Source organism: Homo sapiens, chromosome 7 (genome assembly GCF_000001405.40).
Source record: "Homo sapiens chromosome 7, GRCh38.p14 Primary Assembly".
Taxonomy (NCBI): Eukaryota; Metazoa; Chordata; class Mammalia; order Primates; family Hominidae; genus Homo; species Homo sapiens.
In genome coordinates, this window is record NC_000007.14 from 33,060,893 (window position 1) to 33,074,146 (window position 13,254).

General features: G+C 42.6%; 1 protein-coding gene and 1 long non-coding RNA gene across 10 annotated transcripts in view, besides 3 other annotated features; one reads left to right on the plus strand and one right to left on the minus strand.

Annotated features, from left to right (window-relative positions):
- The window catches only part of NT5C3A (5'-nucleotidase, cytosolic IIIA), a 48,664-nt gene extending 46,780 nt beyond the window's left edge, over nt 1-1,884 (minus strand). For all 7 annotated transcript variants that reach the window (NM_001374335.1, NM_001374338.1, NM_001374339.1 and 4 more), the window contains exon 1: nt 1,676-1,884. In NM_001374335.1, coding sequence (NP_001361264.1) covers nt 1,676-1,813 — 138 coding nt within the window. In that variant the 5' untranslated portion in view covers nt 1,814-1,884. The remainder of the gene's footprint in view (nt 1-1,675) is intronic.
- Nucleotides 1,519-1,578: a silencer, noted in NCBI's record as "silent region_18087". NCBI's record gives its function as "represses an Ori minimal core promoter by ATAC-STARR-seq in GM12878 lymphoblastoid cells {active_cell/tissue: GM12878}" and the evidence as "EXISTENCE:reporter gene assay evidence [ECO:0000049][PMID:35858748]".
- Nucleotides 1,879-1,998: a silencer, noted in NCBI's record as "silent region_18088". NCBI's record gives its function as "represses an Ori minimal core promoter by ATAC-STARR-seq in GM12878 lymphoblastoid cells {active_cell/tissue: GM12878}" and the evidence as "EXISTENCE:reporter gene assay evidence [ECO:0000049][PMID:35858748]".
- Nucleotides 2,239-2,398: an enhancer, noted in NCBI's record as "active region_25833". NCBI's record gives its function as "activates an Ori minimal core promoter by ATAC-STARR-seq in GM12878 lymphoblastoid cells {active_cell/tissue: GM12878}" and the evidence as "EXISTENCE:reporter gene assay evidence [ECO:0000049][PMID:35858748]".
- LOC124901610 (uncharacterized) overlaps nt 2,293-13,254 on the plus strand; it is a 32,215-nt gene continuing 21,253 nt past the window's right edge. For all 3 annotated transcript variants that reach the window (XR_007060277.1, XR_007060278.1, XR_007060279.1), the window contains exons 1-2: nt 2,293-2,756; nt 3,137-3,255. This is a non-coding gene — a long non-coding RNA (uncharacterized LOC124901610). The remainder of the gene's footprint in view (nt 2,757-3,136; nt 3,256-13,254) is intronic.

The window sequence follows — 13,254 nt, forward strand, 5'->3', positions numbered from 1 at the left end:
GAAAAGCTACTAGCAGGCTACACATATATTACAATCTGAATTAATATACTATGCATACATGTAAATATTGACTGATTTCTTTAGTACCAATAAGTTGGTATTCTAGATAGGTCTTCATTATTTGTCACAAAGATAGCAAACTGTTCCTATGATGGTATCATTGAAGGATTTTGTGAACACACTGATTTTTAACCTTACTTGGCTTAGATAAGTGGTATACAGACCAATCCATAGTTTAAGCACAGGCAGGGAGATATGGCAACTCGGTTTTTTCCCCTACATAGGCATTATTAACCTTGGGCAAAAGAAAGCCAAGTTTTCTAAGCAGGAAAGCAACAAAAGCAAAATGAAACTTCTGAGTTAAAACCATTTGCTGCTGTGGGCATACAGATGTGGGACAAATGAATTTTAATAAGCCTTTAGAATTATTAAGACCCTTTAAGAATAAATTAATTCAAAATTAGGGAATATTATTGGAATATGAGACAAGTGGGAATTAACTTTTTTTTTTAAGAGACAGGGTCTCGCTATGTTTCCCAGGCTGGAGTGCAGTAGCTATCCACAGGTGTGATTATAACCTTGAACTCCCAGACTCCAGTGATCTTCCTCTCAGCCTCCCAAATAGCTGGGACACTGGCTAATTTTAATTATGCAAATACATCTGTATTCAACCTGGGGTCAGTACAACCAATAGGACAAATCGTGTCTTTCGTCAGTTGGAACATATTGCAGGTGCTCAGAAATTCCAAGTATTACACCCTAAAATGATATTATTTAGTGTAGATTTTAAATTTTTTTCTATCATAAATCATCTGACCCTAGATGTTCACATGTATAGCACACGGTCAGGCGTATACCCAGGATTATGCATTTCAGGAAATACATAAGCGTGCAAGTTTGTGCAAGAATTGTCTTCCTGAGTGGGTTCTAATTAAAATACAAAACGAAACTAAATATCCTCATTTTTGAAACAATTACTTATAATGTATCTCAAAGGGAATTCTTGAGACACCCTCTTCAATAAAAAATTAAATTCGAAAATGTATACAAGAGCTTTGGGAGTTAAGATGAAAACAAAGATATTTCGTGGGAGTTTTGAGACAAGAAGGAATACATTCAAATACAAAATAAACTATCCTGAATTTCTCCTGGATTGCCATTCTTGTAAAATTTTAGATATTGCACATTTTCATAATCTAACTCACGGCAGCCCCAACATAAAACTAGTCCTCTGCGGGAATTGCAACTAGATTAGCGGCAACGGTTTGACGCGGATCCGGGGGGAGGGCGGGAGCAAGGCAGGGAGAGAAGGAGCCACCTGCCCAGGACATGCAGCTTATCTCTAGAGAAACGGGTTTTGCAGCACAAAGTAGCCTGTGTCCGATTCATCTATTTTCTGCCTTGTTCCTTCAAACGGAAACCTAACAAAGACCACGGGCAGCCAAGGGCCGCAGCCGGGGACCCAACCCTGGTCACCAAGCCCGCGGAGTGGCCGCACGCGGGGCGGCCGGGTCCCCCAAGCTGCGCGTCCCGAGCTAGCGAGATCCCAGCCTGACAGGCGACGCCGGCAGCTCCCCGTCGCGACCGAACAGCGGCCCAGCACAGGCTGCCGAGGCCAGCGGACGGCCCAGCCGGCCCCTCGCGTGCTCTGGGCGCGCCGAGCCTCCACACTCACCATCTCGATGATCTTGGTCTTCCGCCCCGTCTTCCTCTTCAAGGTGAATATGTACTGAGCCAGCACCACCCCCGCCACCAGGGCGCACACGCTGGCGCTCGCTACCGCGCCCACCCTCGCCACGGCCGCGCGGTCCATGGACGGGGCCCTCATGCGCGTCCAAGCAGGAAAAAAACAGGCAGCTCGCGTAGACTGCGAGTCTCGGAAGCGCGGGATCCCAGAGCATCACGGACGAGCCCGCGACGCCCCGCCCCGCGCAGCGACGCCCCGCCCCGCGCAGCTCCGCCCCCACGAAGCCCCACCCACACGCCATCGATGGGAGAGGCCAGGACGCGGCGGGAGGGGTGTGGCCTGTGCCCGGAGCCCAGGCTGGAGGCGGCCTTCAGCAGACTCAGGGTCTCACGAGCTGCTGTCAGGGCAGGGCAGAGTATTGCGGTAATTATCCTTCTCTGCTAATGAGGATTAGGCCGTGGTTCGCTCGAGCCCCGCCCCAGTAGAAATCTAATTCCAACTGCGGCCCGCTAAGAAGTCGGTCTCCGCCTTCGCGCCTCAGCCCCTCTGGACTCCGACCCCCAGAAGGCTGCGCGGCACGGTGTGACCTGCGCAGTGGCGTCCGTTCTAAGTGCTATAACAACAGGGGGAAGATGGCTCAGAGTTAGGCTGGAGAGGGGCGGTGTCCCTTCCGCCGCAGCCGCGGGGTTTCTGCTACATCCCATTCGCCACCTCCGCCATCCTTTTTTCTGTGTGAGCAGAAGGGCTTGCAGTTGTTCTCTCCTGCCTAGTGTCTTCCAAGGGATAGATGCCATTTCTTCTGCTGGTCTCTGGGGGTGAGGAGGGGCGCAGGGGAGCTTCTTGGGGGAATCGCTCCAACTCTGTGGAGCTGGTGGTGCTGCCTGGTGGGGCTCTCTCTGCCCAGGACGTGGAACAACTTTCAGCCGGAGGACTAGAGGAAATAGTTGTAGGGGAGGAAAAATTGTTTCCTTCTAGCCTTTTAGGTCATTTGGCTGGTCTACAAATTAAATTGATGTAAGACAGAGGAACATGAGAAAAACGATTTGTCGACCGAAAGGTGAAATAACAGGTACTAAAACTTAAAGAAATCATGGTTAGTTTTATTACTCGGCCAAGTTTGAGGACTTAAGCCTGGGAACACAGACTCAGTATAGACCGAGAACGTGTCCCAAAGTAAGTTAGCTGGGAGTATAACCTGAAGAAGACTGAGTTTTAATACCCAGAATATTTGAGTATCAATATCTAGACTACTGTGTCATTTTGTCGCCAAAGTAATTTTTTATGAATCCAGTTTTGCACCAAATACCAATATGACTTAAATGTTGTCTGATTGTGAGGCCTAAGATGGTCACAGTCTCATTTATCTTTCTTCCTCAACAAAAACATTTTCCATATATTACATATTATTTTGAATGGGTAGAGACTAAAGCCACGTTTCTATAATTTCAGGATTTTAAACATTTTGTAGACGATAACATTCGTCTTGAAGCTGTGGACAATCTAAAACAGAAATGGAGTTCCAAATTTTGTTTTTGTAATATGGCCCGTCAACTGCACATGGGAAGAATGTGGGTACTCTGAAATATGATTTCTATTTTAACTAGTTATACTATATCATAGGTCTGATTATCATCTATATGAGATGTTAAAGCTGTAGGAGTATAGTCAATTAGACTACAAACCCTGGTAGTAAATTTCCAGGAGGAAAGGGGTCCATATGTTTTTTATAAGTGTAAACCTTGTGTTTCTGAATCTAAGAGGGTTGGCCATGTTTGGAGACTATTTCAGCTTCTATGTGAATTAACATATTAATTATTCTTGTTGAAAGACATGGAAGATCTTGATATGGTTTGACCCTGTATCCTCACCCACATCTTATTTTGAATTATACTCCCATAATTCCCATGTGTTGTGGGAGGGACCTGGTGGGAGATAATTGAATCATTGGGGTGTTTTCTTCCATACTGTTTTCGTGGTAGTGACTTAAGTATCAGGAGATCTGATGGTTTTATCAGGGTTTTCGCTTTTGCGTCTTCCTCATTCTCTCTTTGTCTGCTCCCATCCATGTAAGATGGGACTTGCTCCCTGCCTTCCACTATGATTGTGAGGCTTCCCCAGCCACGTGGAACTGGAAGTCCAATTAAACCTCTTTCTTTTGTAAATTGCGCAGTCTGGGGTATGTCTTTATCAGCAGCCTGAAAACAGACTAGTACAGATCTCTACACGGAGAACTACAAAATACTGATGAAAGAAATCAGGCCAGGTGAGGTGGCTGGTGCCTGTAATCTCAGCACTTTGGAAGCCCAAGGTTGGGGGATTGCTTGAGGCCACAAGTTTGAGACCAGTCTCGGCAACATAGCGAGACCCTGTCTCTACAATCCCTGAAAAACCAAAGAAATTAGCTGGGCATGGTGCTGCGTTTCACTCTCGTCCGTGTGAAGAGACCACCAAACAGGCTTTGTGTGAGCAACAAGGCTGTTTATTTCACCTGGGTGCAGGCGGGATGAGTCCAAAAGAGAGTCAGTGAAGGGAGATAGGGGTGGGGCCGTTTTGTAATATTTGGGTAGGTAAAGGAAAATGTGTTAACAGTCAAAGGGGGGTTGTTCTCTGGCAGGCAGGGGTGGGGGTCGCAAGGTGCTCACTGGGGGAGCTTTTGAGCCAGGATGAGCCAGGAGAAGGAATTTCACAAGGTAATGTCATCAGTTAAGGCAGGGACCCACCATTTTTCACTTCTTTTGTGGTGGAATGTCATCAGTTAAGGCAGGAACAGGCCATTTTCACTTCTTTTGTGATTCTTCACTTGTTTCAGGCCATCTGGGCATATAACTTGCAGGTCACAGGGTATATGATGGCTTAGCTTGGGCTCAGAGGCCTGACACTGCATGCCTGTAGTCCCAACTACTCAGGAGGCTGAGGTGGGAGGATTGCTGGAGCCTAGCAGTTGGAGGCTGCAGTGAGCTATGATTATGGACTCCAGCCTTGGTGAAAAGGTCAGGAGATCGAGAACATCCTGGCTAACACGATGAAACCCCGTCACTACTAAAAATACAAAAAATTAGCTGGGCGTGGTGGCGGGCGCCTGTAGTCCCAGTTACTCGGGAGGCTGAGGCAGGAGAATGGCATGAACCCAGGAGGTGGAGCTTTCAGTGAGCCGAGATCATGCCACTGCACTCCAGCCTGGGCAACAGAGCAAGACTGTGTCTCAAAAAAAAAAAAAAAAAAAAAAAAAAAGTGAGACCCTGTCTCAAGAAAAAGGAAAAGAATGGAAGAAAGGGAAGGAAAGAAGGAAAGAAAAAAAGAAAGAAAGAATAGATGACACAAACAAATGGAAAAAACGCCTCATGCTCCAGGATTAGAAGAATTAATGTCATCAAAATGACCATACTGCCCAAAGCAATTCAAATTCAACAATACAGATTCAGCAAATACAGATTCAGGAATACATATTCAGCAAATACAGATTCAACACAATACCTGGCAAACTACCAATGTCATTCTTCATGGAATTAGAAAAAACAATCCTAAAATTCATGTGGAACCATAAAAGGGCCCAAATAGACAAAGCAATCCTAAACAAAAGGAGTAAAGCTGGAGGTATCACATTTTGACTTAAAATTATACTACAAAGCCATAGTAAACAAAACAGCATGGTACTGGTATAAAAATAGACATGACACATAGATCAATGGAACAAAATAGAGAAACTAGAAATAAATGCCCCATATTTGCAGCAAACTGATATTTGACAAAATATACACTGGCAAAAGGACACCCTATTCAATAAATTGTGCCGGGATAATTTTAGAGCCATATGCAGAAGAATGAACCTGGACCCCCGTCTCTCACCGTATACAAAAATTAACCAAGATGGATTTAAGACTTAAATGTAAGACCTGAAACTATAAAAATCCTAGAAGAAACCCTGGGAAAAACTCTTCCGGACATTGGCCTAGGCGAAGAACTTATGACTAAGTCCTCAAAAGGAAACAACAAAAATGAAAAACAAAAGTTGACAAATGGGACTTCATTAAGCTAAAAAGCTTCTGCAATGCAAAACAAATAATCAACAGACTAAACATACAGCCTATAGAATGGGAGAAAATATTTGCAAAGAATGCATGTGACAAAGGGTGACTATTCAAAATCTATAAGAAACTCAAACTACTCAACAAGAAAAACCATTAAAAAGTGACCATACTGCCCTTGACATGAAGGACAACATTTTTCAAAAGAAGACATACAAATGGCCCACAAGCATATGAAAAAATGCTCTACAACACTGGTCATCAGAGAAATGCAAATCAAAACCACAATATGATATCGTTTCACACCAGTCAGAATGGCTTTTAAAGTCAAAACACAACAGATGCTGGTGAGGCCATGGGGAAAGGAGAATGCTTAAACACTATTGGTGGGAATGTAAATTAATTCAGCCACTGTGGAAAGCAGTTTGGACATGTCTCAAATAACATAAAACAGAACTACAAGTCAACCCAGCAATCTAATTACTGGGTATATATTCAAAAGAAAAGAAATTATTCTGCCAAAAAGACACATGCATCACAGCACTATTCACAAGAGCAAAGACATCGAATCAACCTACGTGTCCATCAACAATGGATTGGATAAGGAAAATGTGGTACATGGACATGAGTCAATACTACACAGCCATAAAAAGAACAAAATCATGTCATATGCAGCAACATTAATGCAGCTGGAGGCCATTATCCTAAGCAAATTAATGCAGGAACAGGAAACCAAGTGCTGCATGTTCTCACTTATAAATGGGAGCTAAACATTGAGTACTCATGGACATAAAGATATATATATTATATATATTTTATATAATATAAATTATATAAAATATATAATTTATATATTATATAAGTATATATAAAATATATATTTTATATATAACATTATATTTGTATATATAATATACAATATCTTTTCAGGCAGCTGCCTAGCCTTTATTTTATATATTTTATATGTTATATAGTATATATTATATATAATATATAAATATGTGTTTTATATATTTATAATATGTAATATGTAATATATTTATATATATAATTTATAAGTATATAAAACACTTATATATAAATATATATATTTATATATATAGATGGAACTGCAGACCATTTTCTTTAGTGAAATAACTCAGAAACAAAATTAATTTTTTTTCTCACTGACAAGTGGGAGTCAAACAATGGGTGCACATAAACATACAGAGTGGAATAATAGACATTGGAGACTCCAAGTGGTGCAAGGGTAGGGGGGCAGGATAAAATACCACCTATTAGATACAATGTATATTATTCTGGTGATGGGTGCACTAAATGCCCACATTTTACCACTACTCAATATATCCATGTAACACAACTGCACTTGTACCCCTAAATCCATAAAAAAAAAAAAGAACTAAAAAAGTGAGTTTGGACACATGCTCTTTTTCACTATTGGACCTTAGCATTTTCCCCATAAATTGAGCAGTTTGATTTACCCGCTTTAAAAATAGCATCATTATCTTTTCAGGCAGCTGCCTAGCCTTTATTTTTTTCCTGGAAGAGTACTTCCTTTAGCTTAAATTTAGGTCAGTAAGTATTGATTTTTTTTGAAAATGCCTTTTTTCATTATATGCACTCTTGACTTGCCCTAACACCCCCAATCCTGCACCTGTTGCCCCTAAGGATCTCTACCTTACTTGGCCAGTGTTGCCATATCCACCAAACATGTTGTTGCCACTGGGCATTTATGGCAGAGGTGCAGTTTGAGTATAAGTTATGGACCCAAAAATGTTGAGTGTTCCAAATCAACATGAGGTGAATGGTAGCTACTCCTAAATAGAGCTTAGTCTGAGTGTGTCATAAGACTTCCCATATTTTTTCTGAGTGAGTCCTAAATTACCATCTAGTGGGATCCTAGTCCATTAAGTGATTCCTACTGTGTGATTTTAGGTTACATTATACTGTTTTTTTTCCAACCACAAAAGCAAGGTTTCTGTCCCCTCAGTCAAGAGATACTGTGACAGGGCACACAGGTTGCTGCTGTCTTTTCTTATACCTGGGGACCTTGCACAGTAACTGATACCTATATTTATAGAAACACAATGATCCATTTGTCAAGTATTAAAAATAGACCAACGAGATCTAGAATTGGGAAGGACTTTCTGGATGTTCCTTTCTACATGGGAACCTAGATAGTACATTATACTATTTCAGATAGTATATTATATCTGAAAAGAAAGTACCATAAGCTGTAGGAACATTGGATTGGTTCCAAGCGGTTGACATTAGAATACCAATGTCATTTTGATATGGAAATATTGGAAAATAAGAGTCTGTCCCATATTTATGTTCATCAAATTAGTTATTTTCCAATGTATGGTGAGGGTATTGAATAAAGGAAGGTGTTTTGTGGGGAGCAGATATGTGCAAACCTACCCCAAAGTCCACAGAAGCTGAGAGGCTGAAGACAGAGGCTGACAAATCCAGTTATAAACAGAAGCCACGTCTGTGTCTTCAGTGGCAGTAAGACAAGATGGTGGATGCCCATTACCATGACCCCTCAGACCCAAGGCTTATATACCAGTGGGAAGGGGTGGTTTAGAAGGAATGTGTAGGACAATTGACATATAATAATATCAAGTTTGTTTGACTTTAGGGCAGTATTTATGGTAAGTACTTGCTTTTACACAATGAACGATAGATAAACTGGAAATCTTAGATGCCTTCTCAGAACAAAGAATATCAGAAGCCAACATGGTGTATTAGCTTTTTTTTTTTTGAGACGGAGCCTCGCCCTGTCACCCAGCCTGGAGTGCGATGGCACAATCTTGGCTCACTGTAAACTCTGCCTCCCAAGTTCAAGCAATTCTCCTGCCTCAGCCTCCCAAGTAGCTGGGATTACAGGTGTGCACCACCATGGCCAGCTAATTTTTGTATTTTTTTTAGTACAGACAGGGTTTCACCATGCTGGCCAGGCTGGTCTCGAACTCCTGACCTCAGGTGATCCACCTGCCTCGGCCTCCCAAAGTGTTGGGATTATAGGCGTGAACCACCGTGCCCGGCCAGATTAACTTTTAAGATGGAGTTGCTTTGTCCTCCACAGAGGGGTTGTCATTAAATATTTAGACAGTATAAAAGGAAAGCATGAGAGTAGAAGTCATATACAGAGGAAATTATTGTTTTATTTTGTTTTTTGATGAGGTCTTGCTATGTGGCGTAGACTGGTCTTGAACTCCTAGGTTCAAGCGATCCCCCCAAGTATCTGGGATTACAGGTATGCACCACCATGCCCAGCTATAGAATAAATTTATTGTATGGGACTGGTCTAGTATCTTGAGATACACTGTGTACCCTGTTGTTGTCTTTGTCTTGTCTTTGGAGGAGCCAGGAGTCTTTCAAAATTTTAACTGAAGATCTCCAGAGGGCTTAGAAATCCATTTAGGAGTTGGGGCTTTTTTAAAATGAGAGATGTGAACCCAAGAGTCAAATCCTTCAAGTTTAGCTGCACAATGATTAGTCAACAGTATCTAATAAGGTTCCTTCCAGTGAGGCTTAAGAGAGTCCTTTAGCTGATGTCTTTCCCAATAAATGTAGTCACCCAATTGGAGGTCATGACATTTGATGTCTTCATCTCCCAGTAGTGTGCTGTAAAATAAATAATAAACTGTTCCATGCATCTTGACTGCTCCAGCTCCAGCCATGTCTCAAAGGGGACCAGGTACAGGCTGCTACTTCAGAGGGGACAAGCGTGGCAGCTTGGCAGCTTGCATGTGGTGTTAAGCCTGTCAGTGCACACAGTGCAAGGGTTGAGTCTTGGGAGCCTCTGCCTAGATTTCAGAGGATATATGGAAAAGCCTGGATGTCCAGGCATAAGCCTGCTGCAGGGGCGGAGCCCTCATGGAGAACCTCTACTTAAGGGTAGTATGGAGAGGAAATGTAGGGTTAGAGCCCTCACACAGAGTCCCCACTGGGGCACTGCCTAGTGGAACTGTGAGAATAGGGTCACCATCCTCCAGACCCTGGAATGGTAGGGCTGCCAACAGCTTGCACTATGCACCTGGAAAAGCTGCAGGCACTGAATGCCAGGCCATGAGAGTAGCTATAGGGGCTGAACCCTGCAAAGTCAAAGGGGCGGAGCTGTCCAAGGCTTTGGCAGCCCACCCTTTGCCCCAGCATCCCCTGGATGTGAGCCATCAAGTCAAAGGAGCTTATTTCAGAGCTTTAAGATTTAATGACTGCCCTACTGGGTTTTGGACTTGCATGGGGCCTGTAGCCCCTTTCTTTTGGCCAATTTCCCCCTTTTGGAACGAGAGTATTTACCCAATGCCTGTACCCCATTGTATCTTGGAAGTAACTAACTCGTTTTTGATTTTACAGGCTCATAAATAGAAGGGACTTGCCTTATCTCAGACTAGACTTCGGACTTTCGAGATAATGCTGGAATAAGTTAAAACTTCGGGAGACTCTTGAAAAGGAATTATTTTATTTTGCAACATGAGAAGGACATGAGATTTGGAGGGGCCCGGGGTGCAATAATATGGTTTGGACCTGTGTTCCCACCAAATCTCATGTTGAATTGTAATTCTCAGTGTTGGAGGTGGGGCCTGGTGGAAGATGATTGATCATGGGGTTAGAGTTCTCATGAATAGGCTAGCACCATCCCCTATTCTTGTGACAGTGAGTGAGTTATTGTGAGATCTGGTTGTTTAAAAGTGTGTAGCATGTCCCCTGCCTCCCCCACCCCGACCCCACACCACCCCTGCTCCTTCTCTGGCCATGTGAAGTGCTGCTCCCTCTTTGCCTTCTGCCATGATTGTAAGTTTCCTGAGGCCTCCCCAGAAGCAGAAGCTTCTATGTTTGCTGTACAGCCTGCAGAACCCAAAGCCAATTAAACCTCTTTTCTTTATAAATTACCCAGTCTCAGTATTTCTTTATAACAGTCTGAGAATGGACTATTACAGACATTTTCTTATAATTTGCATTGTGGCTCTTTTGCTTGGGAATGTTTCAACCCAGTGGGAGAACATGCAAATCATAACCCACATGAATTTATATCCCTGAACAGGAGATAATTGAACGAAATGTGTTTGTCAAATATCAAAGGGTCCAGCAGAAAGGGAGAAGTGCCTCTGTGACTCACAGAGGGGCTAGATTATGTTTATTTAGCATAAACCTTATAAGCTATTGTGGGTGAAGGTTTTCAGTAGTATTGTTTTTCTCATGCAATCATTTTTTTTTTTTAGGTCTCCAGTGTATAAGCTCATAGATGTGTTGTAACATAGGAAATTGAAATCCCATAGGCAAATGGGTTTGTCATTGAGTCCATACCATAGGTTACAAGTGGTAGCGGGGAATATTTGCCTTTTGTTAACCATATTTCTTTTCTCTCTCTCTTTTCTTTCATTCTTTTCTTTCTTTTTTTGAGACATGGTATCATTCTGTCTACCAGGTTGGAGTACAGTGCCACAATCATGGCTCACTGCAGCCACAACCTCCTGGGCCCAATCAATCCTCCTGCCTCAGCCTCCTGAGTAACTGGGGACTGCAGGTACCTGCCAACATGCCTGGCTAATTTTTGTATTTTTTTTTTTGTAGAGACAGGGTTTCACCATGTTGCCTAGACTGGTCTCAAATTCCTCGGCTCAGGTGATCCTCCTGCCTCAGCCTCCCAAAGTGTTGGGATTACAGGCATGAGCCACCACACTCAGCCTGCTAATCATATTTCTTTTTCCTTTTCTGAGGCTCTTTCTTGAGCATCCTGACATTCCCTTTTAATTGGGTTCCATTTAAGCATGGCTATTTCTATGATTTCATCTCATACTGGTAATAGGGCAGCTGTCTTTGCTGCTACATCAGTAAAATGGCTTCCCTTACTTTCCAGAGACTCAGTTTTTGAATATCTAGGGATCTTATAGCCAAATTTATTTTTGTAATTGAATGGCTTCTATAAGTTTAGAGACGTGAGAGCCATGTTTTGTAGGGTGTCTAGAGGAAGTCAGATGACCTTGTTATTTCTGTAACATTCCGAAGTCATGAGCTACACCAAAAGCATAGTGACTGTCAGTGTAAATTTTAGCTGTCTGATCTTTGGCCAACTGGCAAGTTCTAGTGAGCTCTATTAATTCAGCCAGCTGAGGTGATATCACCATAAGGAAAGGCTTACTTTTTGTAATGTCCACAAAAGACACAACAGCATAGCCTGCTCAATATTTTCCAATATTTATCCTTTAGATATGATCTATCACCAAATAACATCAGCATTCTCTAGTGTTTTTTTGTTTTGTTTTGTTTTGTTTTGTTTTAACAAATCCTGTCTGGCCATCAAGAGCTATACTGTTAGTGATATATAATCACAGGGCATCTCATCAGTCACTTTAGGCAGCAGGGAAGTGAGCTTAAGAGCATTATAATGAAGATTGTATTATGTGAGGGAGAGAGTAAAAGTATCTCATAAGACACCAGCTGGCCAGGCACGGTTGCTTACTCCTATAATCCCAGCATTTTGGGAGGCTGAGGCGGGAGGATGGCTTGAGCCCAGGAGTTTGAGACCAGCCTGGGCAACATAGCGAGACCTCCAACTCTACAGAAAAATTAAAAAATTAGCTGGTTGTGTGGTGGCATGTCTGTTATCCCAGCTACTCAGGGGTGCTGAGATGGGAGGATTGCTTGAGCCCAGGAGATTGAGGCTGCAGTGAGCTATGATCATGCCACTGCACTCTATCCTGGTGACAGTGTGGGACCCTGTCTCAACAAAACAAAAGAAGCCAACCTGCTAATAGAAAAAGGTTAAGTGCAATGCAAATTTAGAAGAGCTTCAGCAGAAGGAGGTACATACGTAGTGGAACTTTCATTACAATTTCCTGAGTAGCCTTGAGAAGTGCAACTATGGCTGAGATGGCTCTTAAACAAGGGGGTAATCCACATGCTACAGAAGCTAGTTGTTGGCAGTAATAGCTGATACGTCTATGTTGTCCCCGTGTTTTGGGGCCAGAATGCGTAAGGTGATTCCATGACTTCCATGGACAAAGTGGAAAAATGGTTACTAGTAATTTGGATGTCTTCAATCAGGGGCTTTTATAAAACTATCCTTTAACTCCTAGTTAGCTGTTTGTCCTTCTGTGGTTTAATGTATGAGATCTGGATGATCCTCTTTTACTAATGTATATAAACAGGCCAGGCATGGTGGCTCATGCCTGTAATCCTAACACTTTGAGAAACGAAGACGGCAGCATTGATTGAGGCCAGGAGTTTGGGACCAGCTTGGGCAACATAGCAAGACTTCATCTCTACAAAAAATAAAAGAATTAGCTGGGTTGTGGTGGCATGCACCTGTAGTCCTAGTTACTTGGGAGGCTGAGGCAGGAGGATTGCTTGAGCCCAGGAGGTTGAGGCTGCAGTGAGCTATGATTGTGCCACAGTACTCTAATCCGGGTGACAGGGTGAGACTTTGTCTCTAAAAACATAAAAAATAAAAGAGTGTTAAAAATAATAAATATATAGTTTGTGCCATGAGGGAAAAGTTAGGAATCTAGCTGTGACAGTAACCAGCTAATCTCA